The sequence below is a fragment of the Homo sapiens genome, chromosome 6 (assembly GCF_000001405.40).
Source record: "Homo sapiens chromosome 6, GRCh38.p14 Primary Assembly".
Classification (NCBI taxonomy): domain Eukaryota; kingdom Metazoa; phylum Chordata; class Mammalia; order Primates; family Hominidae; genus Homo; species Homo sapiens.
Window position 1 is genome coordinate 56,546,748 of NC_000006.12, and position 19,507 is coordinate 56,566,254.

At 36.9% G+C, this 19,507-nt stretch overlaps 1 protein-coding gene across 10 annotated transcripts in view, besides 1 other annotated feature; it reads right to left on the reverse strand.

The window, feature by feature from the left end:
* DST (dystonin) overlaps positions 1 to 19,507 on the reverse strand; it is a 496,835-nt gene that overhangs the window by 88,752 nt on the left and 388,576 nt on the right. For all 10 annotated transcript variants that reach the window (NM_001144769.5, NM_001374722.1, NM_001374736.1 and 7 more), the window contains 6 exons: positions 15,391 to 15,453; positions 14,561 to 14,802; positions 13,547 to 13,676; positions 10,572 to 10,771; positions 8,598 to 9,093; positions 5,437 to 6,908 (listed from right to left, as the gene is read on the reverse strand). In NM_001144769.5, coding sequence (NP_001138241.1) covers positions 5,437 to 6,908; positions 8,598 to 9,093; positions 10,572 to 10,771; positions 13,547 to 13,676; positions 14,561 to 14,802; positions 15,391 to 15,453 — 2,603 coding nt within the window. The remainder of the gene's footprint in view (positions 1 to 5,436; positions 6,909 to 8,597; positions 9,094 to 10,571; positions 10,772 to 13,546; positions 13,677 to 14,560; positions 14,803 to 15,390; positions 15,454 to 19,507) is intronic.
* Positions 14,571 to 14,771: a silencer, noted in NCBI's record as "peak5860 fragment used in MPRA reporter construct". NCBI's record gives its function as "represses an SCP1 promoter by STARR-seq MPRAs in K562 erythroleukemia cells {active_cell/tissue: K562}" and the evidence as "EXISTENCE:reporter gene assay evidence [ECO:0000049][PMID:32103011]".

Here is a 19,507-nt window from a genome sequence, read left to right on the forward strand (position 1 = left end):
TTCATAACAAGGCAAATTCTTCTCTGTCTCTCTCTCACACACAACTTTAAGCAACTTTCCATATTAATAAAATACATTATGAAGGTTTCCTTTGATCAAAGGTGGGCCTATAATAATGACAGTAGATACCGCAGTTTGGCTGTTTTATTGGATCACTCTAAAATGGTGATATAGGTTTATCAAGGTAAAAGCAAAACAAAATAACAACTACCAAAAAATCCTACATTATAAAATCTCTGGCTGGAACTGCCTTCAGAACAACCAACTTTAATTCCTCAATCTCAAATGAAGGAATAAAAGTTAAGAGGAGCTCTGTGACATAAAGGGCCGTAGCATTAGTTAGCAGCAAAACTGAAAAGAGAACATGTTGCAAAGTTCCCTTTTGACAGCCCTTTCCGAGAAGTATGGTATATTCCTTGTATCATGTGAAAAAGAGGGTATCCACCTGTTATGCCTAGTTTGTGTGGATAAGAATATGAGGTGTTAATAATACCACACAGCAGATCAGCTCCACCTCTTCATAGCTAGGTGTGGTCTCTGCTTCAGTAGGGCTTCTCTCTTGACCAGCATATGGAGTATTCTTTCTTCCTAAAGTTGTTAAATGCCACTTTGCTCTGGGTTTATTAAATAATGTGATCTTCCTATAAAAGCCATGCATCTAGTTACAGTGTCTATAGTGGAAATATTTTCACCATTAAAAATACCAGAGGAAGGGAACATGCAACCCCTTTGCTAAGGTAGCTTCATTAACAAAAATCCAATCTATTAAGGAATTTTCCCTAACAAAAACCTCTTCTGCAACAGTTTTATCTAATTTCCCCATTCTTAATAAAATGGAAAATAATTTGTCATTGACCTCTATATAACAATATGAACACTTTAAAAGTACTATTAAAGCAGTTTTTGGACAGTTTGATTTTCAATATGGTGACATCAGAGGTTGTTTCTGGATCATTTGATAAACACCATAATAAGAATTTGTGCTCAAACTGCCTGTCTTCCTTAGCCTCATGCTACTTGGCATTTTGGTTTACCGAATATTAAAATAATGATGCCTGGGTTAAACAATGCCTTCACCTGGACCAGAGAAAATTTATTACAGTATAATTAGGCATATGTTCTGCTCTTTGTCTCTGGTTTCAACTTGGCTTAAAAATCCTCTGCTCAATGTAATTCTATGTCCATTTGAAAATAAAAAGAAATCCTCAGAGAGAATGTACTGGAGATGTACTCATTTGTGGGGACAAAATGAATTACAATTGGGGCAGCAACAGAGTGGCCAGAAATAAACTGTAAGCAGGTTCTGAGGTAAGGCATTTTTTCACAATGGTCTAGATCAGGGGTGTCCAATCTTTTGGCTTCCCTGGGCCACACTGGAAGAAGAAGAGTTGTCTTAGGCCACCCATAAAATACACTAACAGCAATGACAGCTGATGAGCTTAAAAAAATGGCAAAAAAAATCTTGTCATGTTATTTAAGAAAGTTTATGAATTTGTGTTGGGCCACATTCAAAGCCATCCTGGGCCACAGGTGGGCCGTGGGCCATGGGTGGGACAAGCTTGGCCTAGATAGAGGTGGGGAAGGTACAGATTTAGCTAGGACTCATTAAAGCATCAAGTCTCTTTGATTTTCATTGAAATTAAATCATGCAATATGGTGATAATGGTTACTTCATAATGATCAGAAGACCTGATTGGCTGTTAATCACATAATAGGAATTACTGGGAGGCATTCCTTGTATACAGTCAGTTACATATGTCTTTGATAAATAATAATGTGTTAATATTAATGTTACTTAATAATGTGGTTTAGATTTGAAGATAATCTTGAGCTAGGAGTCTTCAGATAGGAGTAGGGATAGAGGGAACACCAAAGGAGTTTCTTTCTTCCTGCCTAGAGACAAACAGAATCGCCCTGCTATTCATTCCACCAATTTATAACAGTGTGCATAGAATTTAACCGTAATCATAAATAAGTGTAAGTGGAAAATGGTACTCTAACTTACCAACAGTATAGAAAACACTTCACCCTTCAGACATGTTAGTCCAATGACTAGTATTCAGAAGTAGAAAAACTTATGTACAACAGAACTTATATATAATCAAAATAGTTTTAAAACGTCAAGCTAACTAACACAAAAGATAACACCAATCTACTTTCAAAATCTCAGGATAGTTTTCACTGAGTGAGTTAGGACATTTGGTTTAGAATAGCATTTGCTTTAAGTATTATGTTTGAATTGGTATCTTAAACATGAACGAATGAATTTTGTCCTTGTCTTTACAAGAAAACCTCAAGTAACTATTAACAGCTATTTCTTGAACTATAGAAAGAAAAACAGAATCGGGGAAGTCTATCAAACCTGCTTTAAATCCTCTATTACGGGTCCAGTGAATAGAAGGCACCCCCTGCTGAGTAACTGGGTAATAGCTATTATTCTCAGTTCTGCTCAGAAGGCAGTTTATTTTGTATTAAGAAAAACTATTATAGGATTTTATCTGTGACATTAGGTTAAACTAAAGCTACCAGATAGATTAATGTCAAACTAGATTATATTTCAAAGTCAATAAGGAAGACAGACTCAGTCCTTCACTACTTTTCTGTTTCACTTTTAGGAATTATAACTAGCTTTTCACTCAATACAAATCATTCCATTTAAAAAATTTAAAAAACTTTCCAAAAATTATGTTAAAACTAATGTTTAACAAAAGTCTAAGGCCCAACAGAAACTAAATTAAATACTGAACTGTAAACAAGTCAATTTACTACTTTAACCAAGAAAGATATAATCACTAAAACAATGAAATGTTTGGCTCCATCTCAGTAGCAGCAGTAGTGGTGATCACTGGAATCTCCACCATCAACATCATCATTATCATCATCACCCTTATCATATCACGGCACCTACATAACATCAGTTTCTAAGACTGTTTTACATGTTCATCTCATATTTCTCATAGCTGCTAGTTTTATAGAACATGTTCCTTAAGTGGGTGTTCTTGGTATTTTGGATTAAAATGAACAATGGCTGGGTATTCGGGCTGTCTAAATTAGGCTACAGCAAAGATGATTAGAAAATCCCCCAGAGAAAATACCAGATGTGAAACATGGATGACAAATAAAGTTTACACGAAGCAGTGCATCATTTTCATCAAAAGAATCAGGTTCTGACACTATCCGTGTGACCTTGGACAAGTCACTTAACCTCCTTGAGCCTAGGCTTCTTTATAATAAGATGCAGAATAGTAATAGCATCTACCTCTCATGACTGTTAACAGGATTAAAGATAAATTAAAATAGTGCTTGACACATAGTAAGCCCATAATAAATTGATTTGTTGATTATTGTAATTACTATTTTTAAGGAATACACACACACACATACACAGATAAATGGAATTAGTGGTTGTGTGAGCTACCATAATCATATTCTTGTCCTTTTTTTACCTATGGCACTGGAATATACTAAATGCAGAGTATTTGTCTACTTGAAAACTTTTTTTTCAAGTCACTGGGTTTCAAGATACTGAAAGTATGCCATGATGTTCTTTATTGCTGAATTTCAATAAAATCAATCAACTCTTTCCAAATAATCTGAAAGCAAACAAACACAGCATGCTAAATGGTTTATTTTAGGAGAAATTATCACTCTATATTTCTTCACAATCAAATAAAACAATCTCTGTAGCTATTAATGGTAATGTTACTTATTTGGGACTTTGCAGTTTGCAAAACACTTTCAGTGCAATGGTGAGAAAGCTCCTCCTATCTCTTGCTTTTTCTTACTTTCAGTTCTCCACATGAACAGCCACATTTTTCACTGTACTTGGGAACACCAAAGGGGAGACACCCGCAAATAGCAGCACCAGTATTATTACTTTGTCCATTGTCTTACAAGTAGTTAGAAACAGCAAAGAGAAATGAAGGTCTTTTTTCTAAACAAATGCACAGGAAACCGAAAGAAATCATAATGTTTCACAATTTAACCATTTAATGTGGTTAAATTTCATTAGTATAAACAGTGCTTGGTTACTGTCATTTAATCTTTAAGGTGCTGACAGGGTTCTAGAGAGAATTCCAAACTTTACTGACGAAGGAAGAGTTGCTCCCAAGATCTCTCCCAGTCTTTGATGCAGCAATTGCCACAGAACTATGTTTTTCTAATAGAGGATTCTCTCACGTGAAATCTTTATTTTGCAAATCAGAAATACAAAAATTTGACAGAGCAATGAAGGAGGTCAAGTCAACAATAAGGACGTTTCCTTCACCTTCAAGAATCAAGAACTAAATACAGAATCACAGCTTTGTGAGCCTTGAAGGAACTGGGCTTCAAAGGCGTTTAATAAACTGCAAATAATCATAACTAATAACAATACAAAGAAAAAGAAGGTATTTTTCAAGATTCAGTCACCTAAATAATGTTATTAAAGACAAGCAAATGAAAGAGTTTATCAACTATAACTGCACAGAATTTGGAAGTCCATTTGATTCATATTCATCTCTCAAAGAAAATAATTTGTGGTTTTATAAACTGTTTTTATTTGGTCTTAGTTTATTCTTTATGCACTAATGGTGCAATATATCTTTGCCAGTAAAACACACCTCATAAATATAACAGGAGCTGTGAAACCCTAAAGGTTTATATCAGCCCCATATAGAAAATTGCTTGCTATTTAGGACCCTTTGTTTCCAGGGATAAACCTATCTTTGTCCCCTATACAGATGTGACTTCTGTTCTCACTATCATAAATAAGGCCAAATCCAATGACACGGAAACTGGCCCACCATTTTTATCAAATGTTTCATTCATTAAGTGTCATTGATCACTGTTGAGTGGCAGTCATTTCTTGGCACTGAGGAGCTTATGTCATGCAATAAAAAAAAAATTCACCTCTAATCCTCTGGGGCATGAGCCTAAGACCTTTGTTTAATGAAACAGATTACAACATGGAACTCCATATTGCCTTTAAAAATATGAGCTTTTAGAAGAAAAATGTCTGTGGAAGAAATTAAGAAGGATGAGAAGATAATTATAAAAAGAAAGGGCAGAAAAGACGGTAATTCACCATTGAAGAAATTGCTGGAAGATAAACATCTGCAATAGAGTTCAAAACACAGCCACGGTCACCACAGATGGCAATTGTGAATAATTCCAGAAATGGACCCTATGATGTCAGTTTCTGGCTTGCCTGGAACTTTGCCAAGCACCCTTTGGTCTGATTTTATCTCAGACCTTATCCCACAAAGGCCCAAATCCCCAGTGGCCTTGTAACTGCCCCACCTGCCTGGGTGTTACCCCCATATATGCTCATTCTGGCTCAAATATTGTATGACAATCATTATTAAAAAGTTCTACAAAATAGGCAATCTCCTTTCTAAGCAAATTAGAAACTTCATTGACAATAAAAACACTGGGTAAAAATGAAGAGTTCCCTACCTTGAACATGTTAAGCTGCTGATTAATTGTCTCCGTTTCCATACCAACAGGACCTTGTGACTCTTCATGTTCTTCGGCTTTCTGGAGCAGAATAGAAAATTCTTTCAATTTGCTGTAAAATTCTTCAAGGCGCTTAATTGTCCCTTCAACCTGCTCTTCTCTGGCTTGGGCTCGGTCCAGTAACTTGTTGCATTGTTTGCTTAAGGCCTCCAAGTCCCTTTTGATTCCAACAAGGTCAGGAGAGGTTTCTTCTGTGGCTAACATCATCTTGCAGGTTTTATTGGCATTGTCATTGCTTGCCATGAGGGCTTCTAGTTTCTTTAGAAAGGCTTTTATAGTTTCCTTTTGCTTTTGCAATGTTTCTGCATCTCTCCCCACTGGAGCCATGCTATCCAGTTCATCATCAAACTCTGCGAACTGAGAAAACATTTCTCGAATGGTATTCTGGAAATGCCCAATGCCCTGAAGCTTGGTTTCTAAGAAAGAACACTTTTCATCAACCTGCTGACTTAGTGTACTATGCTCTTGAGCTATGGTTTCCACTTGTAATAAAACATCAGAGGTTCCCTTTGAGTCTGAGGCCTCTACCACAAGGTCCTGTGCAAGTCTTTTAGCCAAATCTACCTGATGCTTCAAGGCCTGAAGTGATTTCTGCTGAGTTTGCAACATGGTCAGGTATTTGTTACTGTAAGCCTGGGATCCCAGCGAATCATGGATATCTAGCTGCTCCTTTGCACACTGAAGCTGCCTTTTAGATTCTTTGGAAACTTCTTGAAATTCTTTAAACTTCTGAGTCATGTTCTCCAGACAGAATTTCTTACTGTGAAGTTGTTCAGTGACCATGTCCACCTTCTGGATCAGTGACTTATTCTCATCTGTAACAACTTCTTTATCTATCTCACAGACACTGAGCAAGCTATTGGCTGTGTTGTTCAGTAATTCTACCATACCAAAGTGTTGGTCCATTTCCTTCTGCAGAGACTTTAACTTGGCAATAGAATTCTCTCCTTCAGCAGGATCCAAGCAAAATTTTATTTCCTCCAGGTTGTTTTGGCATTTGTCTATCCATGGCCAGAGAGTCTCTACTTGCTCTTTATACTTAAGGGCTTTTTCCAATGACTCTTTTAACTTGTTTTCTCTTTCTTTCACCTGCTTATTAAATGTATCCCAATTGGTTTTAATTGTATTAAGCTGTAACTGTAAGGCTGCCTTCTCAGACCCTTGTGTTTTTAATAACAGATTTTCACCTTCTGCAATGGTTTTTTCATACATATGAGACTGAGCGGTCAAAGTTTTACTAAAGTCTTTATGATCTTTAATTAATGACTCCAAGACATCGAGTTTGGCAGATATTGGATGAGATTTGTTTTGCTCTTCTTTCTTTGTATCCAGCCAAGCCTGAAAATCTCTAGACATTTGCTGAAATTGATGAGAGCTTGCACAGGCCGACTGAAGGTGCTGGACATGATTCTCTAGAAATAAAATTACAAGATATGTTTATTTTACATCAAAATGTTAATTTAATCTATGAAAAGCCAAAATAAAAATCTCTGAATGAATATATAGAATTGTTGAAAAGCAAGGGCTTTTAGCATTGACTATAAGAACTACAAGTGAACTTAAGTTATTGACAAAGGGGAAAAGAAGCAAGAAGTAGGCAGAAGAAAATACACAATCAAGAAAAGATGCAGGATACAGATGAGAGGGGAAAACAAAGAATAAGGAAATAAGTAAAAATGCATCAAGGTGCAGGGAGTGGCCATGCCACACATCGCCTGCTGTGCTGGTGTCTTCTCTATTCCAGTATGGAGAAGTGATGATGGCAAAGTTCTTAATTATGTTGATAAATAATCCATCTCTTATTAAATATGACTTTTTCGCGTCTATGACTTTTTTTTTTTTTTTTTTTTTTTTTTTTTGAGGCAGAGTCTCGCTCTGTCACCCAGACTGGAGTGTTGAGGCGCTATCTCAGCTCACTGCAAGCTCCTCCTCCTGGGTTCACACCATTCTCCTGCCTCAGCCTCCTGAGTAGCTGGGACTACAGGCACCCGCCACCACGCCCGGCTAATTTTTTGTATTTTTAGTAGAGACAGGGTTTCACCGTGTTAGCCAGGATGGTCTCGATCTCCTGACCTCGTGATCCGCCGGCCTCGGCCTCCCAAAGTGCTGGGATTACAGGTGTGAGCCACCGCTCCTGGCCACGTCTATGACTTTTACATATTATGGAGGCAACATAATGTAGCACATAAAAACTACATGAGTTTGTATCTTGGTTTAACCTCTTCAGAGTTGGAAGACCCCAGGCAAATGATTAAACCTTTAAGCCTAATTTCTCCCACTGTAAATTGACAATATTAATAGTAGGTATACAGATTAAATTACAGTACATGTAAAGCTTTTAGTTTAATACCTATCACATAACTGTTCATACCATTAAGAATAATAATGATAATAGCTGATATTTACTATTGTTAATGTCATGTCAAATAAAGGAATAAGTCTGAAACAGTTGCTGTGATCAGTAAATCCAATCAATTAAAAAGCATAACTTGAGTATCTACTAGGTGCAAGAAACTAGAAACTTTTCAAACAGAACAAACTTAACAACAAAATGTGTCTTTCTTCATCAGGGCTTTCTGATGAAGTGAATTCTAATAATTCACTGCTACCTCTGACAAATATCATCACATATGCCACAGAATTATAGCCACAGTGAGAGAGGAAAATAGTGACAAATGCCTCTCTTTCGCACATTTCTCTAGAAAAGTTTTCTATGACAGAATAGATAAAGTAACAGCAGATGAGAAGATGATGCAAAGCCTTTTACTAACTATTCATGTTTTTTTCTGGCTAAATAAGACTTTCATACAGCAAAAAACATTTACATTTTTTAAAAACCAGTTTGGGGTACCTGAGATTTTAATAGGCCTTCAGGAAGCCAATTTTGCCAACAGATTATGTGTGTAGAATGACCCTAACATTCCATGTGCCTATGAACACAAAACTGCTCTCTGAGCTCCTGTATTCATCCTCCTCTTCACTGATGTTAACAGTGGGGCAGAGTCTCTTTGGGGTCCTGGATTATTGGCAACATCTTGGAAATAGGCAATATATGACATTTATTTCTGACCAGGAAATATATGTATTAAAAGTAGACAAACCTGCTTTCTGTTCAACATCCTTAAATGATTTTAAGATGCCTTCTAGTTGCCTACTAAGTTCTGCTTTCAAGTACTCTTCTTTAACCAGTGCTGACAAATCCTCACAGAGTGCCTGGGCCACTTTTATCTGCTTCTTTTCCTGCTGTATCTCCTGCTTCATTTTTTGGGCTGTTTCCAACTGTTGGTTCATAGCATCAGGGTGCGTGCTCACAGCCAGACTGCTGCTGAGTTTATTATCCAAGTCACTCAGTTTATCAGAAAGGCTTCTCAGCAGGCTTTGATACTGTGTGCTTTTAACAATGGCTTGGTCAATCCAGTCACATCTGTCACTCAATTGCCCTGTTAGGCTATCCCATTTTTGGGTCACAGCTGCCAGTTGCTCTTTCACAATCCCACGTAAAGAAGGGTCTTCTCCAGGCCTGCTCAGAATGCCCTGACCAGCTGCTGTCAGCTGTTCATATTGAGGTTTCCGAGTGGCGAATTCTTGCAGCAAAATCTAAGGTAACAAGGGTAAACAAACGCAAATTATTATATAATTGATTGTAGAAAACACAGATTTGGTGTCCAAACAGACAGAAATGGTAATTATTTCTCCAGTTTTTGTTTTTTAGTTATCACTTTCCTACTTTTTACTTAAAGGGCAGTACAATTCTCTTAAATCCGAAGAGCCACAGTGCTTCACAGAGATATCCTGTCTAAACTAATCCCATCCCCCTAAAGGAAAAATATGGACAAAATGAACAAAAATTCATGTGTAAATTTTCATATAAAAAGAGAAACACTGCTGTTAAACAAGTTCACACTGCACTTACACCAAATTTGTTTTTACCCACTCATGTTTTTGTCTTCGTAGGATTTTTGGAATACCCTATAGAATTTTATATTAAAGAAAATGCACAGTGATAAAGGTGTTAGAATATATTAACTCATGATGCATTGAGTTGCAAAGGTTTTTGTAACATAAAATTTATTGATGTTTACAGTCTTTATTATAAAGGTTTTAGTCAACAAATCATGCTGCTCAGAATGTATAGGCTCAACTTGACTCATAAAATTAATGATCCAAAAATCTCATTCTTTTAGTATCATATTTTATCTATCTTTTATACTTTTATCTATATTTTATTTATCTATCTATCTCTGGGAGACTACCAAGACTAGAGGCAATTATTTCTCCCCAGATATTTACTTTTATCTTTTGTTTTCATTGTCTTTGGATTATGAACAGATATGAATTCAAACATCTGACTTTTACAAAAACTTATTTGAATTTTCAGCTTATAAAACAGCCTCCCTGCTCTAAAGCCAGTACTCAGACATTAAAAAACTAACTGAAATCACCACAGAGCTTCTGCTATTATGCCTGACTGTAAAACATTAAACATTAAAAATAAAACTCATTTTTTTGGATTTTTTTCCCTTGTGGATTTATCTGCTTTGTAACTAGACTAGTCTAACTAACACCCTGGGTTTCAGGGTTCCCTCTCTGCTTCCCTTATTCTTTGTCCTCTTCTCATTCTCTCTCTCCTCCATCAGGACTCAAATGCATGAGTTTTACAAGTTTCATTATCTACTACCACAATCAAAATAAATAAAACCTCAAAGGAGTAATTTCTAAACAGTAAAAAGTATAGACTAGCCTCTCATAAAGATATTACTTAATTGCATTAATACTTCAAAGAAGGCCCTTTTAACCAGATCTGTACCACCCACAATATGACTGAAATAATCAGGAGACTTGGCCCATTCATGGGATTCAAAGGAGGCCTCTAAGATGCCTTATAGCTTTAGTTCTTTGGGGATTCCCACTAATATCAGGACAGTATCTTATGGGCATCTGAAACATTACATATATACTTCAAAGCAGTTAAATAAAACACCTACTGACCAAAGTTAATATATTTATAATGAAAACATTGGTCTCAGTAAGTCAAATTGCTATGCACGAGAGACAGGTTATTAGGTAATACTCACCTGCACCTGCTGCCTTTGTGTGTTTAGCATATTTGGGTCAATTGACAAGGGCCCAAGAACACTGACCATAAGTTCTTTTTCCACAAGCCACTGTTTCAATTGGGCCTCTACAGTCTGGAACTGGGTTAGATTATTGGAGGATTCTTCCAGTTTTTGTTGTCTATCAATTGTTAATTGATTGAGTTCTTGCCACTTAGAATCTAAAAGAAAAAAAATGAAACTGGTGTTTGACATTTTTTGCATTTAACATGACTATGTCTATGAGGACTGTATGGTATGATTTAAAATGATATATAATGGCTATAATCCCATTTTTATGACTCTTGTTACATAGTTACTTAAAGGACTAACCTACGATTTTATAGGTCTGATGGTTGTATGTCAACTAAAGTATAGGGAAAAAATTTTGAATCTGACTTTAGAAGATATCGTAGAATATCGAATATTCATTAAAGCAGACAGCATTCTGGGATCTCTCATTCCTTCTATAAGTCCTATAGAGTGTGTTATTAAACTATGACTTACTAGAACAATGAACAATAATCCTTTTAATATCAAATCTTCACTTATCCGTTCTAGGCAAATTGCTCCCAAATTTGTATATCTATCCCCAATTATTCTTTCCCATTCAAATTACACATTAACAACCAGCTGCTGGAAAGTTCCCGTAGGAAGTCTCACCAATTAAACTCAACATTAAAAAATAAAACTCATTATATTCCTCTCAAAACTGGTGGACTTTTAAGACTTTTAGATTTCTTTCAAAGGTTATCTTTTCTCCCATGTCATAAAGATGCAATAATTCAGAAAATTCTTTTATGAGCTTCCTAACTCTATTATACCCTCGATCATAAAACCTTAAAGCCCTCCTTTACATTCTCAATGCCATAACTCCATTTTGGCCTTCATCATGTGTTTTTTAAAATTATTTGTATTTTTTACATTGATATATAGTAGATATGTATTTTTAGAGTGCATGTGATAATTTAACACAATCCATCCAGGTGATGAGCTAACATCATCATGTTTTACCTTGACCAGTAGTTCTCACACTTCAGCTGCATTAAGAATCACCTGGAGGCATCTTTAACAGAGATTTCTGGGCTCTACCCTGAGTTTTTGATTCAGTAGGTCTGGAGTAGTATCTGAAATTCTGCATTTCTAAATAATTCCCAGATGATGCTGTTGCTGCTGATCCCAGGAGCACACTTGGAGAACTAATGACCTAGTCTAGCAGTCTTCTAACTAGTATCCCTGCTATTAATGTTTCTCAGCTGCAAGCCACTTGTTTCTAATACAATTTCCCTAAAAAAAATGTCACTTTTAAAACTGTCACTTCACTGCTCAAATCCTTCAATAACTAACTCCTCGTTACCTAGACGATAAAATCTGAAGACCATTGCCTGACATTCAAGGCCTCCCACAATCTTTGAAGGTTTGTACTCTGAGACGATCCTCTAATCTATCCCTGCTGATTTCATCCTTATAATCCAAACAGGCTTTTGCTCACACAGGTCCTGTGCCTGAGATGCTATACCTCCTCTCTATATATCCCAACCCTATCCTTCCTTTACATTCCATTGGATTTACCCTCTGCTAGGAAGCCTTTTCTGTTTTCTCCATCCTCAAGACAGTATGCTCCCTGCAGTCAAGGGTTACTGATCAGAGCACTTCTTTCAGCACTTCAACACAGTCACTCGATAAATATTCATTGATGGTGTGATCACTTGACTTGAGAGAGTTTTCATTTAGCATAACACACTAAAGGGATGACTTTAATAGAACACAATCACTGAAACCTTACCTAATAACATCATTCTACATGACATTTTCCAGTCAAACACAATCTGGCAACAAAATAATGCCATTAAAGCAATAAATCAGGAAGGAAAAATAGAAAAACTCATCCAGAAGGTTTTTTGAACTACATATTCCTCATTCCCACTCCTATTCTAAAATGTCTTGCTAATACTCTCCCCAAGTAATTCTGAGATCCTAGAAGAGAGTCACTGAATGAGTGTCAAATTAATTACAACTTGACAGGAATCTCTATAGTTGGATTAAATATATCTTTGAACATGAAGATCCCTTAGGGTAACCTTTTTCAAACTAAAATATACTTAGAGATTTCTACATTTATCATAGCATACCTGACTCTAAAGGAAGGACAATATTTAGTAATGGAACCATTGAAAGTAAAATAATTATTATAATCATAGTATATACTTATATAGCACTTGATATGTGCCAGGTACTATTTGTTTGAGCCATATACACATTAACTTATTGGGTTCTCCAAATGAAACTATGAAGTGGGGAAAATTATTACCGTTCTCTTACACTCATTTTCTTTTTTTCTACCCCCTTTACACTCATTTTCTACATCATTATAGTAATAAAAATTGGTAAGACAATAGGGCTTGTAAAGAAAATTCTGTACCTCCGAGGAGCAGTGTATACTCCTCTGTTTACACAGGGACAGGATGTGGGTAGGAGGATAACTTTGGATGAAAAAATTGATTGGGGAAGAGCATAAGAGCATAAAGTATGGAGCAGGAGGGGTCCCAGAAGTAACTCCATGAAGGAGAAGGGAGCACAGCTTTTCCAGATGAATGAAAGAAATATTTACAATATAATACAGCTTAAAAATATATAAAGCATAATAAAGCACCAAAAGCTAGGAAAAAGAAACATTAATGAAAACAGGTACTCCATGCACAGCACTTCATTAACTAGTATCTACCTTCTTCATAAAAATAGATTTAATTACTGTGTTTACCATAAAAAACATAAGATATGCCAATTTTCTGCACAATATAATTTGAAATGACACTTTATGCAAAAAATAGATTCTGAAACATTAAAGCAAATCCAAAAATAAGTGACTGTTGAATGTTTTCTGATAAAGATCATGATAAACATGAAAAATGATTGCACTTTTCTTCATAGGCATTCATCTAAGTAACGCAACATACCTATTTCTGTCAACATCTGTTTCCATCTGGGGGCCTCAGGAGTATCTGGGTTCTCCTCCAACAGCTCTGTCAATTTGTCTTTCAACTCCTGTACTTTGTTTACATTCTGCTTCAGTTCTGCCTCAAACGACTAACAAGGGAAAAATAATAATAAATCATGTGTACAGCAAAAGACAAAAATACAATAATGATAGAGCATTATTTTTCTCTAGAATAATGAAAAGAGGAAAAAATCTACTGTTAAATGTTGTGGTGGGTGAGGGCCTGGATTTTGCAATTATTTTCCTTTCCTCTTCTTAGCTAGTGTTCAATTGTGTGATACAGGAATCCCCACAGAGGAACACTATGACTATGAAGATAATGACTCTTGTCCCCATTAGTGAGAAAGAATTTCATATATTCAAACAAGCCACTCTGGAATAAAGCAAGATGATATCAGTAAAATTATAATAAATAAGAAAATCAGTCTTAATAAAGGCTGCCAGAAGTGGAGAATCTACATGTGAATAAACACTTTTTTTGGGCAACACATTATAGAATTCAAATGTAGGTTGGTAATTTGTAGAAATCTTGCCATCACTGCTACCATATAAAGCCATTTTCCCAACCTTGGCAGCTGTAGAAAGAAATACCCTCTATTAAAGAAAAGGAAGGTATTAGCTACCCTATTTTTATACTACAGAGAACAGATCCTTCATACATTTAGCCCTTAAATAAATCTTTTCCAGTAGTTGACTGGTTAACATCCTAGACTTAAACTGATTTAAAGGTGGCAAAGTGGCTTACACCCAACAGTTTGCTAACCTATGACATGGCTGTGCCAAAAATTTAAAAAAAAGTAACTATTATTATCAATCTTTATAGAAAGGCACATTAAACAAAACTGTCAATTATGTGCTAAAGGTTACAGAGCTAGAAAAGAAAACAGAGCAGAGCTTCTGACTACCAGAGCTCCGTTCCAACTGCTAATCCATTCTCTTTCATGTCTTCCATAGGTGCACCCACAGAATATACCTTATTCTGCTCAACTTGAGTCTTCACAGCTTCAGTATCTGTAGGTGCAGGTGTCTGCTGCCATTTTGTTGCAGTTTTGTTCATTTTCTGTAACCACTGCATCATTGCACTTGATTCTTCCTGAGCCTTTTGCAATTTGGAGAGTTTAGTGTTCAGTTCCGCTATTTTGTCCTTGAGTAAGAGGCCAAGATCTTCATAACCATGACTTATGTCAGTCATGTCCTTTTTAATGGATGTTAAACCTAGGAGTAAGAAAAACAACTATACTGACACATTTTCAGGACATTTGGAGCAGAGGTCTAGAAATAAAAGTTTGTTTTACATGGTATTTTGTCACTTCTAGCTTGTCATTATTAAGCCTAGTAGATAAAGTCATAAGCTTTTCAGAAATAAAAGTTTGGATCATCTTATAATGCTATTTAGTCACAAATAATTCAAGAAAATTGCATAACAAGTGAAATAAAAAAGACATTTTAAATGTAACAAAAAACAAACCACAAAATGTTACTTAGCAATATCTCAAGCACCAAACTCAATAAATTAGGTCAAATAACGTTATCCCAAGTGACAAAATATCTCAAATTAACCAAAAAGAAAGCAACAAAACCAAGTGTCAAACTGAACAACTTGATTTTACTTATTTCAGATACACAAAACTGCAAAAAATGTTATATAAATATAATTTTTATGGAGATTGTGACTATTAGATTAAATACCATTGTAATTCAGGCTTGAAATTTCAATATAACTACTGTTTGCCTCTAAGATTTTCTCTTATTAAAAAAACATCAAATTACATTAATCAGTAACAAATTAAAATTAATACTCACCTTTATTTGCCCAAAATTCCTCAGTATTTGTGGCTGTTCCTTCACCATTTAATACTGCTCCACCTGCAAAAATAGTAACACTAAAATAATCACAGTTTCATAGTATTTCTATACATTAACAGTAGATGGCATTAAATCAAACCCCATCAACAGTAATCACACATAAAACACTGACTCAACTTCAAAATCAAATGAAGGTCCAAAATGTAAATATCAAACAATATCCTCTCTTCTATGTAAAATTTATTCTTAAAGTATTGTCTTAAACACTACCATTTCAGTATGTTTATATTATATAAATTAATCATTAAATATTAATTCATAAAAATTTTTGTGAAGTTGCTTTGTGTTTTATCCAATAAATTCCTTTATTCTAGGAAGAATCATATTTATTAAATTGTATTTTAGAGCAGTAAGTGGAGCTTTAGTTTTTTTTTAATTTGTATTTATTTTTATTTATTTATTTTATTATATTTTAAGTTCTGGGATACATGTGCAGAATGTACAGGTTTGTTACATAGGTATACACATGCCATGGAGGTTTGCTGCACCCGTCAACCCATTATCTACATTATTTCTCCTAATGCTATCCACCCCCCAGGCCCCCCACCCCCTGACAGGCCCCGGTGTGTAATGTTCCCATCCCCGTATCCATGTGTTCTCATTGTTTAACTCCCACTTATGAGTGAGAACATGCGGTGTTTGGTTTTCTGTTCCTGTGTTAGTTTGCTGAGAATGATAGTTTCCAGCTTCATCCATATCCCAGGAAAGGACATGAACATATCCTTTTTTATGGCTGCATAGTATTCCATGGTATATATGTACCACATTTTCTTTATCCAGTCTATCATTGATGGGCATTTGGGTGGGTTCCAAGTCTTTGCTATTGTGAATAGTGCTGCGATAAACATAGGTGTGTGTGTGTCTTTATTAGAATGATTTATAGTCCTTTGGATATATACCCAGTAATAGGATTGCTGGGTCAAATGGTATTTCTGGTTCTAGATCCTTGAGGAATTGCCACACTGTCTTCCACAATGGTTGAACTAATTTACACTCCCATCAACAGTGTAAAAGTGTTCCTATTTCTCCACATCCTCTCCGGCATCTGTTGTTTCCTGACTTTTTAATGATTGCCATTCTAACTAGTGTGAGATGGTACCTCATTGTGGTTTTGATCTGCGTTTCTCTAATGACCAGTGATGATGAGCATTTTTTCATGTGTCTGTTGGCTGCATAAATGTCTTCTTTTGAGAAGTGTCTGTTCATATCCTTCGCCCACTTTTTGATGGGGTTGTTTTTTTTCTTGTAAATTTGTATAAGTTCCTTGTAGATTCTGGTATCAGCCATTTGTCAGGTGGATAGGTTGCAAAATTTGTCTCCCATTCTGTAGGTTGCCTGTTCACTCTGATGATAGTTTCTTATGCTGTGCAGAAGCTCTTTAATTAGATCCCATTTGTCAATTTTGGCTTTTGTTGCCATTGCTTTTGGTGTTTTAGTCATGAAGTCTTTGCCCATGCCTATGTCCTGAATGGTATTTGCCTAGGTTTTCTTCTAGGATTTTTATGGTTTTAGGCCTTACGTTTACGTCTTTAATCCATTTTCAGTTAGTTTTTGTATAAGGTGTAAGGAAGGGGTCCAGTTTCAGTTTTCTGCATATGGCTAGCTAGTTTTCCCAACATCATTTATTAAATAGGGAATCCTTCCCCCATTGCTTTTGTCAGATTTGTCAAAGATCAGATAGTTGCGGATGTGTGGTGTTATTTCTGAGGCCTCTGTTCTGTTCTGTTGGTCTATATGTCTGTTTTGGTACCAGTACCATGCTGTTTTGGTTACTGTAGCCTTGTAGTATAGTTTGAAGTCAGGTAGCATGATGCCTCCAGCTTTGTTCTTTTTGCTTAGGATTGTCTCGGCTATACGGGCTCTTTTTTGGTTCCATATGAAATTTAAAGTAGTTTTTTCTAATTCTGTGAAGAAAGTCAATGGTAGCTTGATGGCGATAGCACTGAATCTACAAATTACTTTGGGTAGTGTGACCATTTTCACGATATTGATTCTTCCTACCCATGAGCATGGAATGTTTTTCTATTTGTTTGTATCCTCTCTTATTTCCTTGAGCAGTGGTTTGTAGTTCTCCTTGAAGAGGTCCTTCGCATCCCTTGTAAGTTCTATTCCTAGGTATTTTATTCTCTTTGTAGCGATTGTGAATGGGAGTTCACTCATGGTTTGGCTGTTTGTCTATTATTTGTGTACAGGAATGCTTGTGATTTTTGCACATTGGTTTTGTATCCTGAGACTTTGCTGAAGTTGCTTAACAGCTTAAGGAGATTTTGGGCTGAGATGATGGGGTTTTCTAAATATATAATTATGTCATCCTCAAATAGAGACAATTTGACTTCCTCTCTTCCTGTCTGAATATCCTTTATTACTTTCTCTTACCTGATTGCCTGGTCAGAACTTCCAATACTATGCTGAATAGGACTGGTGAGAGAGGGCATCCTTGTCTTGTGCCAGTTTTCAAAGGGAACGCTTCCAGCTTTTGCCCATTCACTATGATATTGGCTGTGGGTTTGTCACAAATAACTCTTATTGTTTTGAGATACATTCCATCGATACCTAGTTTATTAAGAGTTTTTAGCATGGAGGGTTGAATGTTATCGAAGGCCTTTTCTGCATCTATTGAGATAATAATGTGGGTTTTGTTGTTGGTTCTGTTTATGTGATGGATTACGTTTATTGATTGGGTATGAACCAGCCTTGCTTCCCAGGGATAAAGCCGATTTTATCGTGGTGGATAAGCTTTTTGATGTGCTGCTGGATTCAGTTTGCCAGTATTTTACTGAGGATTTTTGCATCGATGTTCATCAGGGATCTTGGCCTGAAATTTTCTGTTTTTGTGTCTCTGCCAGGTTTTGGTATCAGAATGATGCTGGCCTCATAAAATGAGTTAGGGAGGAGTCCCTCTTTCTCTTTTCTTTTTTTTTTTTCTTTTTTTTTTTTTGTGACGGAGTATTGCTCTGTCACCCAGGCTGGAGTGCAGTGGCACAATCTCGGCTCACCGCAAGCTCCATCTCCTGGGTTCACGCCATTCTCCCACATCAACCTCCTGAGTAGCTGGGACTACAGGCACCCACCACCAAGCCCAGTTAATTTTTGTATTTTTAGTAGAGATGGGGTTTCACCGTGTTAACCACGATGGTCTCAATCTCCTGATCTTGTGATCCGCTCGCCTTGGCCTCCAAAAGTGCTGGGATTACAGGCATCAGCCACCACGCCCGGCTAAGAGTCCCTCTTTTTCTATTGTTTGGAATAGTTTCGGAAGGAATGATACCAGCTCCTCTTTGTACCTCTGCTAGAATTCAGCTGTGAATCTGTCTGGTCCTGGGCTTTTTTTGGTTGATAGGCTATTAATTACTACCTCAATTTCAGAACTTATTGGTTTACTCAGGCATCTGCTAGATGCCAGCTGGAGCTCTCCTGTATGAGATGTCTGTCGACCCCTGCTGGGAGGTGTCTTCCAGTCAGGAGGCACAGGCGTCAGGAACCCACTTGAGATGGCAGTCTGTTCCTTAGCAGAGCTTGAGCACTGTGCTGGGAGATCCGCTGCTCTCTTCAGAGCCAGCAGGCAGGGATGTTTAAGTCTGCTGAAGCTGCTCCCACAGCCACCCCTTCCCCCAGGTGCTCTGTCCCAGGGAGATGGGGGTTTTATCTATAAGACCCTGACTGGTGCTGCTGCCTTTTCAGAGATGTCCTGCCCAAAGAGGAGGAATCTAGAGAGGCAGTCTGGCTACAGCAGCTTTACTGAGCTGCGGTGGGCTCTGCCCAGTTCGAACTTCCCTGGCAGTTTGTTTACACTGTGAGGGGAAAACCACCTACTCAAGCCTCAGTAATGGTGGACACCCCTCCCCTCACCAAGCTCAAGCATCCCAGGTCGACTGCAGACTGCTGTGCTGGCAGTGAGAATTTCAAGCCAGTGGATCCTAGCTTGCTGGGCTCCGTAGGGGTTGGATCTGCTGAGCTAGACCACTTAGCTCCATGGCTTCAGCCCCCTTTCCAGGGGAGTGAATGGTTCTGTCTCACTGGTGTTCCAGGTGCCACTGCAGTATAGAAAAAAAAA